The sequence below is a fragment of the Homo sapiens genome, chromosome 1, assembly GCF_000001405.40.
Source record: "Homo sapiens chromosome 1, GRCh38.p14 Primary Assembly".
Taxonomy (NCBI): Eukaryota; Metazoa; Chordata; class Mammalia; order Primates; family Hominidae; genus Homo; species Homo sapiens.
In genome coordinates, this window is record NC_000001.11 from 84,772,107 (window position 1) to 84,799,510 (window position 27,404).

General features: G+C 42.5%; 1 long non-coding RNA gene across 3 annotated transcripts, besides 4 other annotated features; it reads right to left on the minus strand.

Annotated features, from left to right (window-relative positions):
* Window positions 2,754–3,253: an enhancer, noted in NCBI's record as "H3K4me1 hESC enhancer chr1:85240543-85241042 (GRCh37/hg19 assembly coordinates)". NCBI's record gives its function as "activates a minimal SCP1, AML or CMV promoter by ChIP-STARR-seq in primed H9 embryonic stem cells {active_cell/tissue: H9 hESC(primed)}" and the evidence as "EXISTENCE:reporter gene assay evidence [ECO:0000049][PMID:30033119]".
* On the minus strand, window positions 8,900–25,572 carry LOC102724892 (uncharacterized). Of its 3 annotated transcripts, XR_426717.3 has the most exons (3): window positions 25,125–25,572; window positions 24,159–24,407; window positions 8,900–10,771 (listed from the first exon to the last, which is right to left on the minus strand). It is a non-coding gene; the product is annotated as an uncharacterized LOC102724892 (long non-coding RNA). The 3 variants fall into 3 exon arrangements; XR_007066198.1 differs by lacking the exon at window positions 8,900–10,771 and having other exon boundaries at window positions 23,479–24,407; window positions 25,212–25,572; XR_007066197.1 differs by lacking the exon at window positions 8,900–10,771 and having other exon boundaries at window positions 23,479–24,407.
* Window positions 10,241–10,330: an enhancer, noted in NCBI's record as "active region_1256". NCBI's record gives its function as "activates an Ori minimal core promoter by ATAC-STARR-seq in GM12878 lymphoblastoid cells {active_cell/tissue: GM12878}" and the evidence as "EXISTENCE:reporter gene assay evidence [ECO:0000049][PMID:35858748]".
* Window positions 10,371–10,450: an enhancer, noted in NCBI's record as "active region_1257". NCBI's record gives its function as "activates an Ori minimal core promoter by ATAC-STARR-seq in GM12878 lymphoblastoid cells {active_cell/tissue: GM12878}" and the evidence as "EXISTENCE:reporter gene assay evidence [ECO:0000049][PMID:35858748]".
* Window positions 10,641–10,690: an enhancer, noted in NCBI's record as "active region_1258". NCBI's record gives its function as "activates an Ori minimal core promoter by ATAC-STARR-seq in GM12878 lymphoblastoid cells {active_cell/tissue: GM12878}" and the evidence as "EXISTENCE:reporter gene assay evidence [ECO:0000049][PMID:35858748]".
* Window positions 25,573–27,404: the final 1,832 nt, after the last annotated feature.

Here is a 27,404-nt window from a genome sequence, read left to right on the forward strand (position 1 = left end):
ATCATCTAAGAGGCCCTGTCCACACTGCTGGGAAGTAGTCCTGGCAACTTCACTCCCTTTCTGTGTTTAACTCTCAACACCAAACCCAACTCCTGCATCAAATGCAGTTAAGAATCCAAGACAAATATGCCTAAAGAGGGGAAAACCTGGTGGCTGGATGGAATGAGATTGACTGGGAGGAGGAGACTGGTTTCTAGTCCTGGCTGGAGTACTAGAGTTTTGCACTTAACCAGTTGTTTATGCCAGGCAAGATCTTTCATCTCTCTGAGCTCTACTTTCCTGGCTTAAAATGATACGGTTGGATTAGATGACCTCTAAGGCCCTATTCTGCTTTGAAATTTTTGGAAGCTTCAAATTCCTTTGCAGAATTTCCCTGAGAGGTCCTTGGACCAGTCAGTCTCACCGGTAGAGCTCTTGCGCCACCTAGTGGTGGACTCAGAGGCCTTTTTCTCCCTTCTGCGTTCAGGTCCCGCCTCAACTGGAACAAGAGAACAAAGCCATTTCAGCCCTTTGCAGGACTGTGGCAAACTGCCAGACCTGGGAGGAACACATGTTTAATACATGTCCTAGAAAGATATGCTGTGTGAACACACTGCCACTCCTTATGGCAAAGGCCTTAGTGCGGTGGGCATGTGGTTACAAAGCCAGGTTCCTGATGTCAAGAACACCCAGCAAGGTGCCCTGATAAATACCACCCAGAAGAGATGTGTTTGGGGTACTCTCTCTGTATGCTGATCTGTTACACACTGATCCTTAACGCTTTCAGCTGCTCCCTGGTTAACAGTCATTAGGCAGGCATGCAGCACTGTCATCCTGGGCCTCAGCCCTGCTGTCAGAACCCTCCTCCAGATACCTGAAGCAAAAAGAGGCAGGGGACCCCTTAGGTGTACTGCTGATTTGGAGAAATCCTTCATCCGACGGAAGGTCTTTCTAGGTTCCTCCCCTGACACTCCTATCTAAATAAAAACTACTTCTGAAGCCTGCATGACCCTTAGAGTTGGAATCATCTGAGCTGTGGAGCACTTACCCAACATATCCTGGGATTTGTCAAATGTTGCCGGTGATTCCAGAATTGCAGCTGACTACCTAATAGCAGACATCATGTCACTCCGCTCATGGTGACTGCTGTTAATCTGGATCTGGAAGTTCCATGTCGTTTGCTTTTGGCTTCTATGTCCTGGCGAGGCAAGTACAGGCAGCACTGTTGGTGCCCATTGTACGGGCAAGAAAACCAAGGTTTGAAAACAGGTTCGGTGACTCCCCACATAACCAAAGGGAGTGGTGGAGTTACAATAACATGAAGGAACTCTGACTCCCTTGTCCAATCACGCAGGGTTTAGTCATTTGTTTTTATGATCTCAATGAGGGGCCTTTGGCTCATAGTTCATTAATTTTCATCACAAACACTATTGAAAACCATTAATTGCCTGTGCTTTAAATAGCAGTGTGGAGTTTTTTCCTTGCCTAGCAAGACAATGGGTGTCAGTGGGTAGAAGGAGCACTGGGCTGGGGACCAAAAATCCTGGACTCTTGTTTGACAAGGTCACCACCAAACTGAGGGGCCTGGGAAGTCACAACCACTGAGGCCTCCCTCTCCCCATCTAGGAAGCGAAGAGGGCAGGAGTAAGGTACCTTCCCTCCCAGAACTCCATATGTGAAAGAAAGGGCATTTCTGATTTAGGGTATGTTTCACTTTCTCTAACCTTGGATCTGTCCCAGTAAAATGATTAAGCGAGGATATCTGTCTTTGCCAAAGTATGACTTACCTGGTCAGTCCAGATTGTTCAGGTGGGCTTATTGCTTTCTTGATTTGTAACCTTTTGTTTTCCAGTGACCTGGACTGTTTTTGGTATAGAATTTCATTCCCAGGTGATAAATTCCTTTAGGGAAGTGATAGCAAACAGGTTTAATCTTGAGGGCCCTTCAAATCAGTGAGCAGTGGCTGTCGGGAGCTCTGTGTTAATGTCTCTGAGGCCATGCTGTAAGGCGCCATGGGAACATGATTGATTAGCCATGTCTGCTGTGGGCAGGGGCTGGGGAATGCAGAGGGGAAGGGCTGTATCTGGGATAGCACTGTGGAATTGGAGCAAGGGAAGCCATGCCGAGTGAAAAGGCACAGAGCTGCTTAGAAGCAGAGCAGGGATAGGAATCCACACCTCCTCCCTTCCAATTCAGTGGCCTCCCACACAAGACTTCCTCTTTATTTGGTGTGATGGGCAATCAGGTGCTTAGAAGATACTTTCCGATGATGAGGATGAAACTGATGGTCTGGCAGCAGCTTTCTGCCTGCTCTCTCAGCAATGTGTAAACCCACACATGTGTTTTTCCCTTTCTGAGACACAGAAAGGCTCAACCTTTGACAAGAGATTGTCCAGGAAACATCAGTAAACACACCAAATGCCTACATTCCCATTAAAACATGCCTATCTCCTTCTAGGCAGTTCCAAGCGAGACTTCTAAGAGGTCTGCCTTGCACAACTCACAGGCAGCAGCTGTGAGGAGGAGAGGTGCACCCCAGGCTGTGGGTGGGAGGACAGAGGGAATGGGGAGGCAGGAACAATGGACCAGCCTCCTTGGCCTCACAGGAGGCGTCTGAATGAACGATGATGGCTCTTGGCCTTCCAAATGGCAAAGACACATTCCCAGAGAGGCCGGCTGTGGAGGGCTCCTGCCCAGATGGACTCGCTGTACTGTGAAGGAGCATTCTGTGTTCCCTAACTGGCAGCGGCTGCCCAGCCCATCAGCTTGCCTGACTGCACACCAAGGGCCCTGACGGCTTTCTCATGGGGCACCCCGGGGCTTCTGCCCCAAGCAGATGCTGGGCTTTATGTTCCCACAGAGAAGGCTTGCCCGTGGCGGTCCATCCATCTTCCTCTCCTTCATCTGAGAGGCAGTGTGGCCTGCCCTGAGGGTCTGCAGGGAGCGCTCTCACCAGGCCTGGGAGGATGCTGCCAGGGAGGAGAGTGCCCTGGAGCCTGAATGCCTCTTTTGTTTGCAATGAAATAAAATCTGCCCTTTTAAAAAGCATCCACGCTGCCAAAATCCCAGGTAAAGGGGGTGTGGTTGACTTGCTGCTAGGGAGGAATTCCTTAAGCTCTGCAGGCTATACACCCTCCACAGGAAAGGCCTGGGCCTGGCTGTTGATGATGATGGGATTTCTCCCCCAACACATGCACCTCCCTTGGCTGGCAGGCAACTCAGGAGTGAGGAATGACCAAAGCCAATTCCCAGAGCAGCGGAGGAGCACGGTTCACCTTCCAGTCAGTGCCTCAGGGCAAGCCCTTTCCATCCTCTCCATAGCGCCACCTCTCAGCGGGAGAAATGCTTGGTTCACACACAGGGTCCACCCTGCTCCCACCTGGCTCTTTGAGCTAACGAAGTATCACCCTTTACAGGTCCTGGTTCTGATGCACCAAGATGTCTGATAATAATAAAAAAAAAAAGCCCAGTAGTTACTCACACTCCAAGGTGCCTGGGCTTTCTTCTGGGAGGTTGCTCCCTTCTTTGCGGCCATCACCACACATTCCTCTAGTAAGGAAACCCCAAGAGGCCGGATGTCTGCAGCACATGAGCTGTGTGTATTCCCACACCATGATTATTGCCAAGAGGTTAGAAACTGAACATGATTTGGGTCCTGAGGGGCCTTAAATCACTGTCAAATGGGAATTTGCTATAAACCAGCTGAGACCAGGGACTAAGTTCCTGTCTCCAAGAACTCCACGAAGGACCCTGCAAGAGAAGAGAGCACATTCCATTGTTTAGACTAAGCTGAATCCCAACTACTCAAGGCATCCTGGCCTTTGGGATTGGATAAGGTAAGTTTTGTAAGGATTCCTGACCCAAGCTGTCATGTCAAGCTTCTTTACCCATCTGGCCATATTTCATGTTCGGATCCATCACGCAGTTCTCTGCATTTTATTGACAATGCACAGGCCGTTTCCTGTGTGTAACTCCTTGCCACCCTCAGGAGGAAGGTCCTCAGACAAATATATGAATGTTCATTCATTCAACAAGCATTTATTCAGCATCTACTATATTCCTGGCCCAGTGCCAGGCTCAGCGTCTCCTGTGGATCCTCATGGGGCCTTCAGATATGAAAAGAAAAGTACAAAATGATGCAGGTGCTATGGTAGACTTAAGTATTAGGCTCCATGGGAGCACAGAGTAAGAATAAGTCATTTCCTAGATGGGCAGTGAGTTGAACTCAGGGTGAGGGGCCAGCGAATCCTCCCAACACCTAACATCTGGAGTTGTTTTGGGGGGTAAAGTACACGCAGCTCTTATGTGTACTCTTGGATCTGCATGCCAGGCATTGTGTTGTCTGCCTGCCCATCTGGTTGGACCAGCATCTGGGGGGTGGGTCAAGTCATCCAAGCTCCAAGGAGATGGGTAGGACAAGAGATTGTCAGTATCTTACTTGTCCACAATGGGAGCTATATTTGTGCATGGGAGGGTATAACTGCCTGGACAGAGGCCACTCCTTCTGGGGCACAACCCTGCCCAGGAAACCCCAAATAGAGGTTTGCTTCAATAAGAGCTATGTTTATCTAGGAAACATTCCAAGTTGTGGAGAAAAAAAGGAGAATAAAAGAAAAAGAAGAAACCTTCCATCCACAGCTAGAGACCTGAATATTGCCCAGGAAGTCTTGCTAGGTTTGTCTAGTGAGACCAGAGACATGTGATTTTATGTGGGATGTGATTTTACGTGGGATGGCTAAGGGAAAACGCTTTTACTGCACATTCACAGGCCTACCCCGCCACGTCATCATGACAATTGTGGTTCTCTCTGTGCCCAAATCCATGATTCAGGTTTTATAGCTCTTAATAATTGCATCCTTTCATAAGACTTTTCCGCAGAGTTACTGCCAGAGTTACCTTTTATATATCACATATATTAACATGGAAATGAGATGGCATTGCTGCCCAGGATTCCTACAGCATAGATACTAATTGACAGCCGAGGACCAAAGGCAGCTCAACTTGCATTGCTGATTTCACTGCTCATGGTAGATACAGAGAAACAAAATTCTAACTTGAATTACGGCAATTGCTGGGCCATGCTACAGGTCATAGAACATGTTTTCTTTCCTTTCTGCTATTTTTTATTTTATTTTATGTATTTTTATCTCTTGCTCAATTTCTCTGATCTGTGAGGGCTTTGGGAAGCCACACATGTGCCTACTGCAACCTCTGAAAGTACTTGCAATAGCCAAGTCTTCCATTTTGGAGAAACTCCATGCCCTTCAGAAGGGCCTGTAATTCCATCTCCACTGGTGGCTCTCGGGTGCTTATGGTGCAGCTCAAATCAAACTCTATATTTTCTTCACCCTTGATCTTGATCTTAATGGAGTGTGTGAGACCAGGAGCTTTGGCAGGGCAGTGCCGGGGTGTTTAGCACTCACTGGCCCTCAGTTACTCTGGCCTTCACCAGGCAGCAGCAGTAAAGAGGCAGCTGTTTGTCTGTGGAGCTGCCTTGTCTCCATCTACCAGGTGCCGTCCATGGGGCTGTGACATGTGAGCACAGGCTGGTGCAGCTCCATGATGGCAGCCAGGTAGGGTCAGGAACAAATCTCACTTTTGCTTTTTCTTATAGAAAATCATGAAATAAGCTATGTGGTGACATTAAAAAATAAGTTCCAAAGCCAGGTGCGGTGGCTCGCAACTGTAATCCCAGCACTTTGGGAGGCCAAGGCGGGTGGATCACTTGAGGTCAGGAATTTAAGACCAGCCTGGTCAACACGGTGAAACCCCATATGTACTAAAAATAAAAAAAAAAAAAAACAAATTAGCTGGGTGTGGTAGTGGGTGCCTGTAGTCCCAGCTACTTGGGAGGCTGAGGCAGGAGAATCTCCTGAACCCAGGAGGCAGAGGTTGCAGTGAGCCAAGATTGCGCCACTGCATCTAGCCTGGAAGACAGAGTAAGACTCCATCTCAAATAATAATAATAATAACAATAATAATAATTTCCAAGTTTAAAAGCTGTAAACTATCCGCTGTCACAGGTTAGTTTTAAGACCTACTTTTTGTCCTTGAGAAAGTGGCATTACCTAATAAGGAATCCTGGAGGGAGGGTGAAGAGGCAAAGTCTGGGAAGCACACAGGGTGGGGAGCGCCTGTGTGTAGTCACTTCAGGCTGTAACTTTCCTAACAAAGAAAACTGCTGAGCCATTTCAGACCCTCTCCAGCCCGATGCAGTGATTGCTTTGCCCTTCAGGGCTGTAGGGCTTATGGAGCACAGCTCAGCATCAAGTGACCAGGCCATCTTGGTCACTATGCTGGTGGCTCTGAAGCCCAAGGCTTTCCCAGATCTGCACGAGTTTCTGTAACTGATGAACAGTTTTACGCTGTGCCATTGTAAGGACTCACAATCTATACAGGAGGAAGACCATGTATTCACATGTGTTCAATAACTATTTACTTGGTACCTTCCCTAGGCCAGGCACTTGTGTTAGTCACCAAGGATTCAGTAGTGAACACAACACAGTTGCTATCATTATGGGGCTAATGTTCTAGGGCAGAGATCCCTGACCCCCGGGTCACGGACCACTGCTGGCCCATGGCCTGTTAGGAACCAGGCGGCATAGCAGGAGTGAGTGGTGGGTGAGTGAGCAAACTTCATCAGTATTTACAGCTGTTCCTCATTGCTCGTGGTACCACCTGAGCTCCACCTCCTGTCAGATCAGCTATGGCATTAGATTCTCATAGGAGCGCAAATCCTATTGTGAACTGTGCTTGCAAGTGATCTAGGTTGTGTACTCCTTATGAGAATCTAATGCCTGATGATCTGTCACTGTCTCCCAACACCCCCAGAAGGAACCATCTAGTTGCAGGAAAAAAAACTCAGGGCTCCCACTGATTCTACATTATGGTGAGTTGTATAATTATTTCACTATATATTACAATGTAATAATAATAGAACTAAAGTGCACAATAAGTGTAATTTGCTTGAATCATCCCCAAACATCCCTCCCCACCCCCACTGGGTCCATGGAAAAATTGTCTGCCACAAAACCAGTCACTGGTGCCAAAAAGAATGGACTGCTCTTCTAGGCGAAGGAGATAGACAATAAACAAATAAACACAGTAATCTACAGCACAGCTTCCCATAGTGAAAGATGCCAAGAAACACGCAGAGTGGGGTAGAAGGATGGGAGCTGCTCTGGGTCAGGTGGTCAGGGGCAGTCTCCGGAGAGCCAACCTTTGAGCAGAGAGTCCTGACTTTAGAGGGTGCAAGCCTCGGGGTTGCCTAGGGCAGAGCATCTCAGAGGGAGCCGCGGGTCCAGTGCTTAGCAGAAGGAAGAATCTGACTGGGAGCACTGTGAACTCTAAAAAGCAGCTGCTATCTATTAAGAGCTTACTATGTATCAAGCACTTTGCACGCCTCTTATGCGCCATACAAACATGGTCTCATTTAACTATTACAACAGTCCTGTGACATAGATCCAACTGTTCCCATTTTATAGCTGATGAAACAGAGGCTGAAAGATAACCTAGCCTGCCTCAGAGCAAGCTTGTCTAACCAGTGGCCCAGGACGGCTTTGAATGCAGCCCAACACAAATTCATAAACTTTAAGACATTATGAGATTTTTTTTTGCGATTTTTTTTTAGCTCATCAGCTATCATTAGTATATTTTATGTGTGGCCCTAAACAATTCTTCTTCTTCCAAAGTGGCCCAGGGAAGCCAAAACATTGGACACTCCTGTCACAGAGTTAGGAAACGGCAGAGCTGAGACTTGAGCCTGTATCTAGTCTGTGTCCAAAACCCTCTGTTCCCAACCTCCTCCAAGACCCACAGCTCCACTCTGTTGTAGTGGGAGAGCGCTCACAGGCCCACAGCACTTCGTGCGGAGGAAAGGATACTTTTGAGACCTAGTTTGCCTGGAAGAAGCTTTGCTCATCATGAAAAGCCACTTTCTTTTCTAACTGTTTTCTCTCTCTTGCTTGGAAACATTGTCCAGCCAAAGCTGCTTCTCTGGGTGGCTTCCTCTTTGTGGCTTCATTGTTTTATGTGGTGAATGCTGTTGCTACCAGGATGCCCACAGAGTACACTTGGGTCCCCAGCTTTATTTCAGGGCTTCCTGGGGCTGCCAAAAAGTTGTGCAATTCTTTCAAGGCCCTGGCACCGGGGACTCACACTTGTAAGGCTGATTCATTCTTATGTCAGCTCTGAGACCAGAAAGGACTCTCCAAGGGTAGCCACCTAGGTGCATGCTTCATCCCCAGAACCACATGGGCACAGAGTGGTGCAGAAGAAAGAACAGCAGGTTGGAATCAGTCAGTTTACACGTTTGCAGAGTCCCATAAAAAACAAAACAAAAACAAGAAGGCAAAGTAACCAAACCGCGCAATCCTGAGCAAATAAGTCAGCAGTCCTCCAAGCCTCAGGGTCCTTATTGTAACAATAGGAGCAGTCTTGCTAACCTCTGTCCGCTGTTTTCAGCGGCGATGACACCCCCATGAGAATATGCTTCTTGCAAAGGATTTCCTTCATCTCTCCCCATAAGAAAGGAGGAAACAAGATGAAATGCATGGTGCAAAGCCCAATGCCTATCTGCTGGATGTGAAATGCCTGCATGCTATAAAATCACTCTGGGGTTTACCCACGCTCTAACAGTGGTTGTGTGTGTTGACTATTCTCTGTCCTCAGCCAGCCTACCGGAGGCAAAGTATGGTGACTGGAGGACATCTCTGCAGGCAGAAGCAGCACTGAAGGCACCTGGAATGAAGATGAGTGGAAAACATCTCAGTAAACACAGCACTATTCATGATAGCCTAGATGTGGAAACAACCTAAGTGCCCATTGATGAATGAATGGATAAATAAATTGTGATATCTATATATATTACAATATCCCTACAATGGAATACTATTCAGCCTTTAAAAAGGAGATACTGCTATTTGCTACAACATGAATGAACCTGGAGTACTTTATGCTAAAAAGTAAGACAGATACAGAAAGAAAACTACTGCATGATCTCACTTGTATGTGGAATCTAACAAAAAGTCTAATACATAGAAACAGAGTAGAACAGTGGTTACCAAGGGTGGGGAGGGGAAAGAAATGGGGAGTTTGTCAGAAGGTACAAAGTTATGTGGGAAGGATAAATTTAAAAATCCAACATACAGCAGGAGGACTATAGTTAATCATACAGTCTTGTATATTGAAAAGTTGCTAAGAGACTAGATTTTAGGTGCTCTTACTGAAAACAGGGTAACTAGAGAAGGTAGGGAAGGTGATGAATACGTTAATTTGCTTACCTGCAATAATCGTTTCACTATGTATATCAAAACATCATGTTGTATACCTTAAATATATACAATAGAAAATAAATAATAAAATAAACACAGATTAAAAAATAAAAACAACTCAAGATACAAATGTACATATGGCTGGCTGTAGATGTAGTTACTGGCTAAGGCATGGATTCTGAGCCAATCCCTTTGAGTTCAGATCATGGCTCTTCCACTTTCTCACTGTATGTTCTTCAGTGATGGCATCTTTTTTAATGGCTTAGGAATTTTTTAAAGTCCTAAATTAGGTAGTTTTAGCTGGTAGATCCGTGGATATGTCTTGTTCTTCTTCTTCACTCTTTGTAAATAGGGGATAATAATACCACCTACCCCAGGGTTATTGTGAGATTTAATAAGTAAATATGTACACACAGAGAGAGGCAAAGAAAGACAGAGCAGTTGGAACAGTCCCTGACAAGCAACTTTAAAGTGTTGGCTATTATTATAAGGGAAGGGCCAGGTAAATGCTGGTGCTTGACACTTATTTACTTAAAAAAGAGAAAAGAAAAGAAAAGAAACAAGTCATACCCAACATCTACCAGCTTAAACCACCTAATTTAGGGTAAAAAAAAATTCCAGACAATGGAAAAGATGCTGTCTCTTAATTATTCAGGGAATGGCTTTTCTCTAGGAAAGGCAATCTGAAATGTGTCCTGGCAAACCAACTCTTCGGCTAAAGACACATGGTGGCTCTTGGTTGGGCGTGGATTAAAGCGCAGCTCCTCCCGCTTTCCAAACTCAGAAAGGAGGAGGAATGTTAAGTGTGGCTGCATTGTCATTAATTAATTTCTCAAGGGCTGCAGTAATCAGGAAGCTCATTAATGTGTTTTAGCCTGCCTTTCATTTAGAGAATGAGTAGGAAATGTAAATGGAGTGCACTTAGAAACCTTAAAAATCGTTCAGTGCTGTAGTGCGGGGGGAGAAACCATGGTATGTCTCTAAGGAAAAGCAAAAACCCACAAGGGCTTCTTTAATCACATGAAAGAGAAGCAATTCTAACTCAACAGCAGCAGAGGCTCCCCGTGGCGTTTCAAAATATTATCATTTGGACTTGGTTGTTCCTCTACTCTTGTGCCATGTTTAAAGACGCCACGCTCCATCCATATTTATACTTCTCCCAGCAGGGAGCATAATTGTGAAGGGCAAATTCCAGGGGCCAGAGCTCCGCGGGGCCATTCCACAGGGTGCTGCCAGGAGCTCCCCTGGGGTATTCATTAGGAAAGGCGGCGCAGAGGAAATCAGGTCTCCACGGCTCCCCCTAGCGGAGGCTCTGCTGTTGGGCCAGGTTGGGGGCGGGGCACCAGCAGCTTCTCTAATTCTTCAAGGCCAACCTAGGGCCATACATGTTCTCCTTCATTCTGCTCTTGACCGCCCCGGAGGAGGTGCCTGAAATTGAGCTCATTCCTTCTCCTCTGTGAAGTCAGCGTGTTTCAGAGGCCTCCTCTCACAGACGTGGACCAATTCTTCCCTTGCAATTCCTGTTAAATGTATACATAAAGCACTTAGAACAGGAGGCAGTGTTCTGTCATTCTCATTGTGATTGTTAGTGCTAGCTAGTGGCAGACAGTGGGCCACCCGGTTTTGGGGGGTGTTTACCCCTCCAGTTTCCACACGGGGCTTCCTGACAATGATCACTAAACAATTCGTCACACGACCAGCCATAGAATCTTGAGTTGTGACTCAAACCTCCCTCTGTCCTATGTCCACATCCTTATCTTTGGTAGATGCAGGTCTCACTTTTACTCTCCTCTCGATGTGAGAGGGAGGGGCTGGGCCTGAGTCCACATACACCCTCTCTAGTAGGACGTGCCTCTGGTGGGCATGGACATGAGCCTACAGGAAGCCAAGTTTCTTCTGACCAGAAAAGGGAAGCCAAGTAATCTATGTCTCTCCCTGGGGAGACCAGGGAACAAATAAGCCACTTAACACTTATCCTGCCCCATCTTACCCCGCCCCCACCTCTCCCAGGGGACCTTGCATACATGACCCTCTCCTATGACCCCAACCGAACTTTCCTCTTCAGTTCAGTTCAACAAACGTCTATTGAACACCATGTGCCAAGCCCTATGCCAGGTGAGGGGATCCAAAATGAATAAGACGTGTTTCCATTCTTAAGGAACAGATTAGGGAGTAAGTCAAACCCAGAGGCATTATTCCAACAAATGGGAGTACAGAGGGGGCTGGAACTCAACCTAGGCTTCCTGGAAAGGAAGGGAGCCTGAGGTTGGCCTTGGCAGACATGTGGCAGGTTCCCCGGGACTGGAGAGTGGTGGGCATAGGACAGCGTGGCAATGTGCCTCCAAGGTGAGCACGGTACTTGGCACACAGTAGGTGGTCAGCACACGCACTGAGCTGATAGATGGAGCAGGTAGCCAGCAGTCAGTGCTACTGGTGCGTGAACGCTGGCCTGTGGGGGTTGATGGCGCTGAAGAGGGTCTGAAGCCCGAACCTGAGGAGGGCCTTGAGTGCCAGGCCCTTATCTTATAAGACCTTACCCTACAAGAGTTTGAAGCAAAAGAGTGACATAGTCAGATTTACATCTTCTTTGCTCATTATTCCACTACCCTAAGGAAGCCTCCTGAGAACTTTGAAGAGTTGCCCTCTAAGATCACAGTCTCATGTGACTGGTATTGCAAGCAGCTACTCTCCAGCCATATTATAATCGTGGTGCTCCTTCAGCCAACAAATGGGCTAACTAGATAGCTAATCTTGAGATACTCGGTCGACAGTTTATAGGGTGAAATGTTCAGTCTCTACCTTAGTTCCTAATCTGTAAACAGACCTTTTGAATTCTATTGAAAAGCTTTCTCCACAAACCTTTCCTACAAACAAGAGTTTATTCCCACCTCCTGTCCTTAACTGCTACAATGCACTCTTACCATCATGAACACACCTCTGCACATCCAAGTACCCAGTCCTATTTGTACACTTACGGACCAGTATCATAATATGACATCCTGGATCAACTTCTGAAATGCAATAAGCAACGTGTCACAGCATAGGAAAGAATCAACTTCAGGCTTGGGCACAAGGTAGGCCAAGGCTGACATTCAAAAGAGGGCTGTCTATTGTAATGTCTAGTTTTAAACCTGGATCATGCCTCACTCTCTGAGATTTCTGCTACGTTTTAACGATTTTTCTGAAGATTGAATAAAATAATGAGTAAAGTGCTTAAAAATGCCCTACCTATAGTAAGCTCTCAATAATATTGTCTATGTTCATTATGATTAACAGGATAGTTCTGCCAAACGTTCAGGTCATTTATACCTCTGAGGATAGAGAGAAATTTATCTATTGTGAGAAATGAATTTGGCAGTTTTTAACGTTAATTACTTTGGTATTGTTCCTTCATGTTTTGTGTTTATATCTTGGCCCCTAATTATACTGTTAGGACTTTGAAGGCAGGGATCTTGTTAGATTTGTATTTTTATATCCTTCAAAGAATCTAGCACTATTTCTAGTATGTCATAGATATTCAATAAATAGATCTAGATTGACTCAATGTTAGAAGGGCTCTATAAGTATTAAAGTGTTAATCACCACAATACTCGGCAAGTGATAATCTGCCCCACAGTCCTTGTCTTTGCTGCCACATCAGGAAAATGGGCAGACATAGGTTCTTGAGGTGGGTAATGAGCCCAAAGGTCTGTAGACTATACTGTCTGACTGGTTCGCACACCCCAGCTAATCACTGTATCTCTGCTTGCCACTATACACTGGCTGAGGAAACCTCATGAACTTCTCTGACCTGCAGGCTCCAGGGTCCCAGATGCAGCACCGGTTCCCCAGGCATTTCTTGTGCTAAGGTGCGTATGACTCCTCCAAAGGTCAGGAGAGGCCCTGGAGAGCTGGCCCCCTTCTTGGGTATCACTTGCAACAAGTTGGGGCAGACTACTTTGGCTTCTTCCTCCTGGTCAAATAATAGGCCATTCAGTCTTGGGGAGAGAAATGAATCAGCAACCCCAGGGCCATTCCAGTGGCCCTGAAAGCTGCCAGCTGGACAGCCCATTTCAAACAACCAATTAATATGAGCACCACAAGTTGATTTGAGCAAATCCAGGCACCTCTCTCTGCAAGTACAAGACGGGCCTGCGTGTCTGCATGGAAAATGAAGTTGTTTCACCTTCCATGGCATTGTTCCACTCAAAGAAACAAGCTTTATTTATCTCAAAACTTGGCTTCTGTTGACTTGCCAGATGAAAAATGATGTGAAGTTACTGAAATCATCTGCTAAGGGAAATGAATCCAAGCACGGTGAAAGATGTTTTGCTGCTTTTTCAAAGCACATCAGTCAGCTTGTCTTACAAGCACAATATAATTTTCTACCAGGTAAAGACAGTAATTATTTCAATTAGCAATTGAATTAGATGTAGAAGATAATGAGGAATAAAGATGCTGAACTAAGTTCAATAACTCACCACATATGCTTCTCTTTCTTGTTCTAGCTAAAGTAGCAGTAAACAGAGTGAATTCAGCTGTGGGATGATAGGGGCCTTTCCCCGCAAGTGGACTGAGTCTCAATTCATCATTCACTGCCTGATGAAGAGGCAGTATAGCAGACATGAGATGCCAACAGTACTCAGCCTATGCTCAGTCCAGCACCATCCTTGGTGCACAGTGACCCTTGTGGAAAATGGGAAATTATGAAGTTCTATGGTAATTAGTGAAACAATAACTTAAAGATATTTTCAGTTCCACTGCTGAAATAAAATAAGGAAATTCCAAGGATCTAGAGTATTTTTATTCAGCATCTTCTGAGACCATTCCTTTGATTTCACTCATGTGCGTTTCTGGAACGGGAAGAAGGAAAAGAGAAGGGGAGAGAGTGCAAGAGCCAGGGCTTCCTTATTCTGGGAAGACTTTGACCAAACTAGGCTAATACGGCAGAAAGAAACTGACACAGCTGATGGTCTTTTTGCACGTTTAGCACATCTGAAGTTTCTGTTTTGATTAGCGCCTCTCCATGTTATCTGAAAAGTCTATCACTAAGCAAAAACTGACAGTACTTCAAGGAGTAATTGACAAATTTGTGATCAGAGTGGGAGCTTTAACATGTCTTTCTTAGTAACTGATAGATCAAACAGCCAAAAAATTCAGTAAAGTTATAAAGATTTGAACAAGACGATTAACAAGTTTGATATAAAAGACTTATATAGAGCACTGCATTCAACCACTGGGGAATATACATTCTTTTTAAAATCACATATTACCTTTGTAAAAACTAATTGTGAATTAGGGCAGAAAGCAAATATCAAATCTCAACAAATTCAAAGAATAAGTATCAAAAGACCACAACACAATTAAGTTAGAAAAAAGTGAAAATTATAATTAAAAATCTTCATACAATTAGAAATTTAAAACACATCACATAAAAATCCATAGAGACAGAAAGCAGATTGGTGGTTGCCAGGGGCTGGGAGGAGAGGGGAATTACTGCTTAATGAATAGAGTGTTTTCTTTTGGGGTGATGAAAGTGTGTTGTTACTGGATAGAGGTGGTAGTTACATAACATTGTGAATGTACTAAATGCCACTAAAGTGTGAATTGTATACTTTCATACGGTTAGCTTTATGCTATGTAAATTTCACCTCAACAACAAAAAAAAAGTGCTCATATCTCTGTGTTTTAATTCTTTTTTTTTTTTTTTAGATGGAGTCTCGCTCTGTCACCCAGGCTGGAGTGCAGTGGCACGATCTCGGCTCACTGAAACCTCCGCCTCCTGGGTTCAAGTGATTCTCCTGCCTCAGCCTCCCGAGTAGCTGGGATTACAGGTGTACACCACCACATCTGGCTAATTTTTGTATTTTTAGTAGGGACGGGGTTCACCATGTTGGCCAGGCTGGTCTCAAACTCCTGACTTCATGATCCACCTGCCTCGACCTCCCAAAGTGCTGGGATTACAGGCATGAGCCACCATGCCTGACCTCTGTGTTTAAATTCTAATGTGTGGATACACAGGTGTGTATAGTTTATGAAAGTTTTTCAAACCATTCACTTATAACACGTACACTTTCTGTATTAAATGTGTATATTTACATTTTCTATATTATGCTTCAAATAAAGAGTTTTAAAATGAAAAGAAAACATATTACTTAACTCATGGGTCAAAAAGAAATTGTGCAGGAAAATATAAAAAGCTAAGAACTGTATGACAACTACACTAAAAATGTGCAGTTTGCAGTGCATTTATTCAGACCAAGGGATGCAGGTGAGAAATCAGCTGTGGGAGAGGACGGCAATGGGTTCTCTTAAGTATGTATGAATACGAATTTATAGGTTTGAATGTTTATTTGGGAAAAAATGCCACTTTAAACATAAAATTAATAAGCTAAGCATCAAACATAAGAAGGTAGAAAGAAAACAAAATTCCCAAAGAAAATAAAAAGAAGGAAATGACAACCTTAAATTAGATAATAGATACAATAAGTACAATCAACGAAGCCAAAAATTAACACTTTGAAGAGACTAACTTCTGGAAAGACTGTATAAGGAAACTAAAAAAATATATAAAGAGATAAGGCACAAATAATATTAGCAGAGAAAGTAGAATACAAACGGTCAAAAAGATAATAAAAATATAAAATGAAAAACCTTATCCAATAAGTCTGGAAATGTTCATTAAATGGACAAATTCCTAGAAAAATATAATTTGCCAAAACTGACCAAAAAAGAAATAGAAAGCCTGTATAACCAGCAGTAAAAATCTTCCCACAAAATAAATCCTAGGCTTAGAGAGTTTTATTTGTGAGTTTTACAAGGCGTTTCAATTACAGCTGAAGATTTACCAGTATGTTAAAGAAGCAGGATTCATGGGATATAATCCAGAAAGTTATTAGTTTTGTCTCCTATGGCCCCTTTAAATCTTCTCAGTGAAGGCAATCCTTCCCCTGCCATTGGATGAAAACTCAGGCAAGCCCTATATAAAATAACTATAAAATATTCACTTTTATAGTTGTTCTTGAGTAATAGAAATACCTTTATTCACTTTCAGACACAAACCCAGACTCAAATTAGTAACTTGACATAAAAAGCCAGGCTTTTTTTTTTTTTAATTATGCTTTCAGTTCTGGGATACATGTGCAGAATGTATAGGTTTGTTACATAGGTATACATGTGCCATGGTGGTTTGCTGCACCCATCAACCTGTTGTCTACATTAGGTATTTCTCCTAATGCTATCCCTCCCCTAATCCCCCATCCCCAACAGGCCCCAGTGTGTGATGTTCCCCTTCCTGTGTCCATGTGTTCTCATTGTTCAACTCCTGAAAACCCAGGCTTTCAATTTAAAAGTTAAGACTTCTCTTCACTCTACCTTCTTTTCCCCCAGCTAAGGGCTATGGCAGGGAGGCCACCTGTTTGGGGGAAAGACATAAAATCCAATCTCTTCCTTTTTTCTGTCTCACCTTGTCAATCACCCTCCCCTATACTAGTCAGGGGACAGAAAACACACCAGTTATTTGAGAAATAATTTAATATAAAGAATTATTAACTAGATATAAAGCTACTAACCAGGTAACAGAAGAGAGAAGAGAATGCTAAGGCGTCATAAGCAATCATTTGAGGAAATGGCTATCATTCCCAGGGCTGAAGAAATAAAAGGAAGAGATTGGAATTCTTGAAATCTAAAAGCTGAGACAAAGGATCCTGGTGAGCTGAAACCCTGACCCTGAGGAGGGGGAGATGATTGACTGATGGTGGTGTCTCAGCTCAGAAGAGCAGCCGGGGGAGGCTGGGGCCCGGACTCTGAACAGGGGGCACTGGTCAGCACATAGTCATGTCTCAGGTTAAAGGGGTGAATGTGACAAGTCTGGTCCTGCAAGTTTGGTAGAAATAGCGAACTGGATCAGCTGCTGCTATGGAAGGAACTACCACCAATGCAGTGAAGGTGCAGTGCTGGAGTGATACTCACAAGAACTGTGAGCAGAAAGGAAGTCCAAAGCAAGCAACTGGGAGGAGCACATTCCTTCTGCTCCTCCAGCCTTTGAGTTTCCCTCTAGCACCCCAATTGGCAGAGCCCAACAGGGAATAGCTGGCAAAGCAGAAAAATGATTTCCAGGGTTCCTGTCCAAGCACCAAAAAGCAGGGAATAAAAGGGTGGAATGAGCTGAAAGACAATTAATAACTCATACATCCCCCATCCATTTACTGCTGTTTCTGATCCTCTTCAGGTCTGGGAGATGGGGAAGGAAGACAGGCAGAAAGTCCTTACTTAACTGGTATCAGCAAGGTATTTGAAGCTGATTCTTTCTCTTATGGAATGCTTTCATGTGTACTTTGGAGAACCTATTTTCTTACCCTATCACTGCTGATTTCCTTTGATCTGAATGAATGCACAGTGTTCTGGAAGTTGCTCACTTACTACCCCTTACTGCCAAGGAAAGCAGTATCCACCTCTAGCTCATGCTGTAATGAAACCTGTTCACCTCTCCAATTGACCTGACTCTGAGTTCATCTATGATGACCCAATTCCCAGCTCTTTTGTGTATACCTAGCCAAGGAAACCATCGTACTGCTTTGTCCAGGCAAACTGGGGGATTACGAGCTGATTCAAGCCCAGCAGCATCTTTCATTCAATCCACCACCAAACCACTTAGCCTATCCTTTTCTTGCCTTCTGTGTTCTAGATGGGAGCTGGACACAAGTCTGCTGACCTGCCTAGGTGGAGAGGACGCATATGGAGCTTTCCACAGGGAAAACTTGAATCCCTTCTCAGTTGGCTCAGTTCATACTAGCAATGTTTTCCAAAGAAATCCTCTTCAAATCTCCATTAAACTCCCCTTTCTAGTCATTTATTTGCTTGAGAGGGCAAGGAGTTGTTAGTGTGAAGGAATGATTCCTGGATATTTCCTTTGGAAAGGCAATCTTGGTCTAACATTTCACTTTGAAAGTTTATATTTTTTGAATCTTGGTGCTTCAATTGAAACTTAATTTAACATCCTTTTTCACCATTCTTAAATTCTTCCTTTTCATCCTGAGATCAGTATAACATTGATCCTAAAATCAAATTAAATAGTACTAGAAAGGAAAATTATTGGCCAATCTTATTCACATGCAAATTCGCCAAAATTCTAAGCAAACTATTATCGACCAAATCCAGCAGGGTATGAAAAAAAGTCCATCACACTAAGTTGGGTTTATCCCAGGAATGCAAAGCTGGGTTAACATTATAAAATTAATTAACGCAATTCCTTATATTAACAGATTAGAGAAAGAAGACAATTTTATCATTTCTTTTCCTTTTCCTTTTTTTTTGAGATAGACTCTCACTCTGTTACCCAGGCTGGAGTGCAGTCGGATGATCTCTGCTCACTGCAACCTCTGCGTCCTGGGCTCAAGCGATTCTCCTGCCTCAGCCTCCTGAGTAGCTGGGATTACAGAGGCGCACCATCACAACAAGCTAATTTTTGTATTTTTAGTAGAGACAGGGTTTCACCATGTTGGCCAGGCTGGTCTCAAATTCCTGACCTCAGGTGATCTGCCAGCCTCAGCCTCCCAAAATGCTGGGATTACAGGCGTGAACCACCGCACCCAGCTGACAATTTTATAACTTTAATATACGGCAAAAAGCATTTGAGAAAAAGCAACCTAATTTGTGGTAGAAACACTGAAAATTATAATTAAGAAGGTAACTCGTTTAACAGGATAAAGGTCAAAAACAAAAATTTATGGCAGATAATATTCTTAATAATAAAACTTACAACTATTTCCTTTAAAATCAGGAACAAGTTGAAGATGCTCAATATTATCATTCTATTCAACATTATTCTACTGATTCTCATCAGTAAAATTTTAAAAAGGAAAATAAAAAGGTACGCAAATTGGAAAGAAAGAATAAAATAATAATTATTAGCAGATAATATGATTGCCTATGAAGTATATTTTTAAAAATCTATAGTTAAATTATTAGAGTTAAAAAGAGTTTAAGTTTTGCAAGGTAGCTGGGTATACAAAAATCAATTGCACTTCCATAAAGCAGCCGTAAAAATTGTAGTAATATAATTTTTAAAAGATACCAGTACAATAGAAATAAAACTATAATAAAATAAAAGCAAGACCTTTATGGAAAAAATGCTATTGAAAAATGTTAAAGAAGACGGAAACTAATGGAGAGATATACTGTTCCTAGGTAGAGAGATCCAATTTCATAAATATGCCAATTCTCCCTAAATACAATGCAATTCCAGTCAATATCTCAATTGTTTATCATGAAACTTATTATCTGATTTCAAAACTTACATGGAAGAGTAAAAGCCTACAAATAGTCAAGATACTTTTGAGGAATAACAACAAAGTGTGTGTGTGTGTGTGTGTGAGATGGGGTAGAGGTAGGGGTTGCCCTGCAATTTGTGGTAAATCTATGTAAATCATGTAAGTCATGATAAATCTATGTAAATAAGATAATGTGGTATTGGAAGACAGATAAACAAATAGACCAGAGGAAAGAATAGTGAGCCCCAAAATGAATCCATGAATATATGAAGACTTACCTACAGGCATTGCATAGTGGCTGAGGTGTGGGGCCGGGGTAGAAGGCATGGTAGAGAATGAACTGCTCAATAAATAGTGGGGGAACAAGAGTTTATCCATATTGGAAAAAAATGATATTGGATCCCTCCCTTATACCGTTTATAAAATAAAGTCCAGGTAAAATAAAGACTTAAATGTAAAAGGAAAAACTTTAACATGTTTAAAAGTCAATATAGAACAATAGTTATGTGACTTTGGCTAAGAGAGTACTTTCTAAACAACACTCAGAGAATACAAGCCATAAAATAAAATATTGATAAATTAAAGAAATTCAAATAAAAAATTTCTAATTTTTACCTAAAGACACCATAAAGTGAAAAGACTAGCCAAAAATCTAGAGGGCATATTTTCCATGCATATAATTAATAAAAGATTAGTATTGAGAATCCATAAAGAAGTCCTAAAAATCAGTGAGAGAAAATACAAACAACCCAATAGAAAATGGCCAATAGGAATGAAAAGATTTTTCACAGCAAAGAAAACATAAATGGCAAATCAATATACAAAATGTATCTTAATTTCATAAGTACCAAGAAAAAGAAAAATGAAATCACAATGAGAGATAGTTTTATGCCCACCAGATTGGTACAAATTAAAAATCTGACAGATTTAAGTGTTGACAAGCTGTGGTACAAATTAAAAATCTGACAGATTTAAGTGTTGACAAGCTGTGGTACAACAAGGTCTCCTAAACAGTGATAATGGGTGATGCAATCACTTTGCAAAACAATTTGATGTGATGTAAGCTAGTATAGCTGAGACTGCGCATCTCCTATGACTCCTAGGCATGTGCCCTCGGAAAACTCTTGCAAATAAGAACCAGGTAACAAGTTGGAGGCAGCATTGTACTAACAACAAACTGAACACAACCCAAGTGTTCACCAACTGGAGAATGGACAAATCAATGTGATTCTTCATAAAACAGCTATAGTGATGAAAATAAATGAATCAGCAGTGAAATGGAATGTCAGATATAGAATGTTAAGAGGAAAATTCATGAAATATGATATGTTAATAAGCTTGGAAAACAAGCAAGGAAAGCAATACTTTGTTTATTGATACATATAAATGTGTAAGGCTATCAACAACAGCAATGGAATGATAAAGCCAACTTTAGGGTAATGGTTGCCTGCCATTACCTGGAGGCCCAGGTAACTTTGAATTTAAACAATGAATACATTTTTTAGTATAAGTATGTCCCAGATATTGCATGGGACATACTTACACTAAACAATTATGCATTGTTTATCTGAAATTCAAAGTTAGTTGGGCATGTTTTCTCACTGCTGTTGTTTGTTTTTGGCTAAATCTGGCAACCCTACTCAGAGAGAGCTTCAATGATATTTATAACATTTTATTTATTATGTTGGGTGGTAGGTTCATGGCTGCTCATTGCATTATTTTATTTAAAAAGAAAACATTAAAGCAAATCTCATTGTTTATAATTCCACTTGGTGGATCCAAAGCTTTTGCTAAAAAAAAAATAAGCAGTAGCTGTAGACTAGGCTAGAGTGTCAGGAGCTGATCCTCCCTGGCCATGTGGGGATATGTCAAATGGTTTGTAGCTGGGCTTTCTTCTTCTCTCTCTCTCTCTCTCTCTGTGCTGTGTTGGTGATCAGCTCACCACACTCTAATACTCAGGAGCTGCTGATGGAATATACTCGGTCAGATACCCACCATCTACCTTTCACAATGTCTGCAAGTGTGGGGTGTTATTCATTGCAGGATCCAGTTAAAGCTCGTGTTCCAAGCCATAAAAGACCTTTTAACCATAAAACTCCCTCCTATCTTCCCAGCTCACATCCCTCAGAGAAAACATCAGAAAAGAAAACATGAACACCCAGGTGAAAGAGGCGATTAGTTACAAAATCACTTGCCAGCCCAATGGGAAGGAGCTCACTGGAGGGAGAAAAGCCTTTCTCAAAATTTACTTGATGTCAAGGCTCACGACCTAAAGAATCTTCTTGAAGCAAGTACACAAGCAAAGGATAAAGACTTTGCAGAGAATATAAGGACCCAGCAACAACAGCAAGACATTCCAGCATAGCACAAACAGCTAGCAGGGAGGGTATGGGCTGCTCAGCACATGTAGAAGAGGTTCAGACCAGATCTGTCTTTAAGCAAGCCTGAGGAGAGTGAGCAGGCCTGTTGAGCTCACTGCAGTATTCCAGGGCTTAACCCAGTGACTGGCATAGGGTTGTCCTCAATAAATCTTTGTGGGTAGAATGCATGAAGCCATAGTGAATGAGAGAAAGAGCAAATGCAGCATTGAATGTTATTATCATTATCTGATCCTTCAAACGATGGAATCAAAAAGTCATATCAGGATCTGCCGATTATCGTATATATTTCATTGTCTATAGGTATGTACATTGCTTGTTGTTCTTAACACAAGGTATGGGTTTATAAAGCCCCGAATTTAAAGAACCCTGGGTGAAATCTGCATATGTTTTTCTTTTCTTTTCTTTTTTGAGATGGAGTCTTGCTGTGTTGCCCAGGCTGGAGTGCAACGGGTCGATCTCGGCTCACTGCAACCTCTGCTCTCCAGGTTCAAGTGAGCCTCCTGAGTAGTTGGGGTTACAGGCATGCGCCATCACACCAGACTCATTTTTGTATTTTGAGTAGAGACAGGGTTTCACCATGTTGGCCAGGGTGGTCGTGAACTCCTGACCTCAAGTGATCTGCCCACCTCGGCCTCCCAAAGTGCTGGGATTACAGGTGTGAGCCACTGCACTTGGCTGAAATCCGCATATCTATTATCTATTCCAGTCAAGAACCTGGTGCCCAGAGTGGGTAGAACCAAGAAGCAGCCTCTAGCAGACACCCCCTTAATGAGGCCAGCTTCTGCCTGGGTTTGCTCAATCACCTTGGGAGGTCTGTTTTCTACATGTTTGGTTCCTTCTGGCAGACCTTGAGGGATGATAACTTCAGACACTTCTTCTTTTGACATGAGGTGTTGATGTACTGGCCTTCTGCATCAATCCTTGCATTTAATCATTTATTCAATTAATATTTATAAGGTATGTGCCAGGTACTGTGCGAAGCCCTGGAGATTTAGAGGTAGCATTTAATGAGCATTTACTTACTAAATGTCAGGCACAGTGTTAAGCTCACGACTTAAAGTGTCTAATTTATAGCCCTAAGCAGTAGGCACTATTATTATCCTATTTTGCAGATGAGAAAACTCAGAGATGAATAAGACATGGTCAGTGGCTTTAAGAGGAAAGCCTTTCCTAATGAAGAGGGCTTCATTTTCACTGCTATAGCTGTTTTATGAAGAATCACAATTGATTTGTCCATTCTCCAGTTGGTGAACACTTGGGTTGTGTTCAATTTGTTGTTAATACAATGCTGCCTCCAATTTGTTACCTGGTACCATGGGCAAGAGTTTTCCTGGGGCATATTTCTAGGAGTCACAGGAGACGAACAGTCTCACCTATACTAGCTCTTGTCAAATTGTTTTGCAAAGTGATTGCATCACCCATTATCAGTGTTTAGGAGACCCCATTGTACCACAGCATTGCCATTTGCAACACATGGTTCTGAGGATTTTCCGAGGTACCTTAGGAACATAGTGTATGTTGCCAAAATATTAATATGTATTAATTAGATAATTAAGTATTAATTATCTATTGCTGTATAACAACTTAATCAGCAGCTTAAAAGAACATGCATTTATTTCCTCACAGTTTCAGTGGATTAGGAGTCCAGGTATGTTTAGCTGGGTCCTGTGTGTCAGGGTCTCACCAGCAAGCTGCAATCAAGTGCCAGCCAGGGCTGGGTTCTCATTCCTCTGCTTGCCTGGGGAAGAACATGCTTCCAAGCTCATGTGGTTGTTGACAGCATTCAGCACCTTGTGGCCTCAGATTCTTCCTGGCTGTCAGCTGTTGGCTGCTCTCAGTTCCTTGCCACCTTTCCTCTCCGTGCTCACAATATGGCAGCCTGCTTCCTCACAGCCAGCAAGGACAGGGTCTCCCAGCAAGGTGAACATTTAAGCTCTGTAAGCTTCTGTCTTGGGTAATATAATCCAGAATGGACATCCTATCACCTTTGGCATATTGTATTAGTTGAAATTAAAGTCACAGTCTGGCCACATTCAAGACAGAAAGGGCCTGACCAATTGACCAACTTGGAAGCAAATGGAGATTTTAGGACCAGCAACCACACAGAAGGAAACCAAGGATACACGCAGCAATAAATGGGAACTAAAGTACTAAAGCCAGAAATGGTTACCACTCCAAAATAATCATTCTGTGGTTTTCTCTGTAGGAACAGAGTTGGTTCCTCAATTGAACAGAAGAAACAGAAAATCAGACACTTGCCTGGATGCCACACTTACCGTACTATCTTCGGGAGGAGAGGTAGGGATGAGCAGAAGTCAAGCTTTGATGGAATTCACGTTATCTGTTCAGTCACTAGCAGCCTTTGGACCTGATGTCCTTCACATACCGAGGAACACTTTGACTCAGAACAAAGGCACTCGCCGGCAAAGTTCATGGCCTTCCACTGTTCTGACCACAGCATAGATCACTTTCACACCATCCGGACAGTGCTTCATTTCTGCTGACCACCTCCCTTGGCCCTGTTCCTGAAGAATGGAATAATTAGAAAGTTTTTTCTATGTTGTTTCTATTATGTATGAGCTTTTTTTGGTGCCCTCGAGTGGTTTTGAGGGCAGAAAAAACTATTCAGAGGTTAATGTTGCTTTTTAAAAGTTAATATTAAATTATTAAAGTTACAGATTAATAAGCCCTATTTTTCCTAAAGCTTTTATGTTCTGCATAAAATCTTATTGTTTCTTGTATATTGCATATGGTCTGTCATATTTTCAAGAACTGTGTTAAGGGCCTTTGAATAATATGTGATCCTATTTATAAGCTTAGCTAATTTAACATCCTCAAGCATTTTAAATTGAATTTATAAATCAATATATTCTATTTATCTTTTAAAATTACTTCAATTTTCTGATTAAACTAATATAATCTTTCTGAGTACTTAACACAGAATACCTATACATCAAACTCATAAATAGGGTTAACTTTAAGTTCCTTTAAATATTTCAATGACCTATATAAACTTAGTAATATTATAACTTTAAAACTAAATCAATTATTCACACATTATAAATTGGAATCTAAAATCTGTTCATTTTAATTATTAGGCCAAATTGTCTTAAACATTACATGCATGTGAGATACCAAATACGTGCTTCTATCTCACATAAAGGATTAATATACAACAGGTTAATTTCCTTAAACACATCCATACTTGAATTGAAATCAGCCTAGGGTTGGGTGATACTTACCCACTGTACTGTATTAGTTTCTCTGGGCTGCTGTAATAAATCATCATAAACCAGGTGGCTTCAAACAACAGAAATTTATTCTCTCACCATTTTGGAGGCTGGGATTCCGAAATCAAGGTGTCAGCAGGGCCATGACCCTCTGGAGTCTCTAGAGGTGAATCCCTCCCTACCTCTTCCAGCTTTTGGTGGCTGTTGGCATTCCCGGGCTTCCTTGGCTTGTGGCCACATCACTGCTATCTCTAGCTTCATGTTCACAGCACCTTTGCCTCCACGTGTCTCCACTTTTCTTATAAGGACGGTTGTCATTGGATTTAGGTCCCAGTCAGGTATTCCAGGATAATCTTATATTAAGATTCTTAACTTCATTACATCTGCAAAGATCAATTTTCCAAATAAAGTAACATGCACAAGTTCTAGGGATTTGGAGGTAAACATATCTTTTTAGGGGCCACCATTCAACCCACTGCACCCACAAAAGAGCTACCTGTCACTCCCATGAGTCATGGTAACGCCCAGAGGTGGTGTCTGGGAAGCTAACTGCCTTGCCATCAGCAATGCTGCTGGAACATGCTTCGTTCTATTTATAGCGGCACTATCAATGCCCTTCAGATGATGTGTCTCACAGTCCATGTCCCCAAGTTCACATTCTACTTTACTGAGTTTCTTTATCTCCTCACAGAAGCCTGCAGCACCCCCACCCCACTCCCCTGGACTGCATACTTCACCCAATTATGTTTTGCATATAGATAGATAGATAGATAGATAGATAGATAGATAGATAGATAGATGTATATTTGTGTATATACATATACATATATATGTGTGTATATATATATGTATTTTTTTTCTGATTCTCTCCAAAGACATTTGAACTTGATAGATAGAATCCTGCATTCTTTCAATCTGTTAGGATAATTAATTCTTAGGGCTATTAAAATGACATCCAGTTGAATTCTGGCACCTCTCTTATGGCTTTGCCTGACTAGTTGGTCACACTTCTGAGGTCTTTCCACTGTTTCAAACAGCTGGGTAAGAATTCTTTTAGGGCTTTCGGCAACTGTTGAAAAAGGAATACCAAAGAACCAATCCTGACAATAGGTCTTTGCTTAAAGGAGGTAGAATTGTGAAGTGATAAAGAAACTCAATCCCAGCACTTTGGGAGGCCAAAACAAGATGTTTGCTTAAGGCTAGAAGTTTGAGACCAGCCTGAATAACATAGTAAGACCCCCATTTCTAAAAAAAAAAAAAAAAAAGATTAGGCATGGTGGCCCATGCCTATAGTCCTACATCCTCAGGAGGCTAAGGCAGGAGGATGGCTTGAGCCCAAGAGTTCAGGGCTGCAGTGAGCTATGATCATGCCACTGCGCTCCAGCCTGGGTGACACAGTGAGACAGAAAGAGAGAGAGAGAAAGAAAGAGAGAGAGAGGAAGAAAGGAAGGAAGGAAGGAAGGAAGGAAGGAAGGAAGGAAATAGTAAGACCCCCATTTCTAAAAAAAAAGAAAAAGATTAGTCAGGCATGGTGGCCTGCATCTGTAGTCCTACCTCCTCAGGAGGCTAAGGCAGGAAGATGGCTTGAGTCCAAGAGTTTGAGGCTGCAGTGAGTTATGATCATGCCACTGCACTCCTGCCTGGGTGATACACTGAGACCCTGGAAAGAAAAGAAAAGAAAGAAGAAAGAGAAGAGAAGAGAGGGAGGGGGAGGGAGGGGGGATAGAGAAAGAAAGAAAGAAAGAGAGAGAAGGAGGGAGAGAGAGAGAAGAAAGAAAGAAAGAAAGAGAGAGAGAAAGAAAAGAAAAGAAAGAAAGAAAAAGAAAGAGAGAGAAAGAAAGAAAGAAAGAAAGAAAGAAAGAAAGAAAGAAAGAAAGAAAGAAAGAAAGAAAAAGAAAGAGAAAGAAAGAAAGAAAGAAAGAAAAAGAAATTTATATATACCTATATATGCTGTGTGGTTTGGGAAAATCACTTAACCTTTCTGATCTGGTGTACTGGTGTACTCCTGTCTATACAACGGAGGTAACATCACTCCAAGTTACTTCATTGGGTTGTGATAATTTAAAGAAATGATGCTTGCAGAATGCTTCCCACAGTGCTCAACTTATAAGCACACGATAAGTGTTAGTGATTAGAATACTTGAATTTGGCCAGCCATAGTGGCTCACGCCTGTAATCCCAGTACTCTGGGAGGCTGAGGCAGGTAGAGCACCTGAGGTCAAGAGTTCAAGACCAGCCTAGCCAACATGGTGAAACCCCGTCTCTACTAAAAATACAAAAAACACTAGCTGG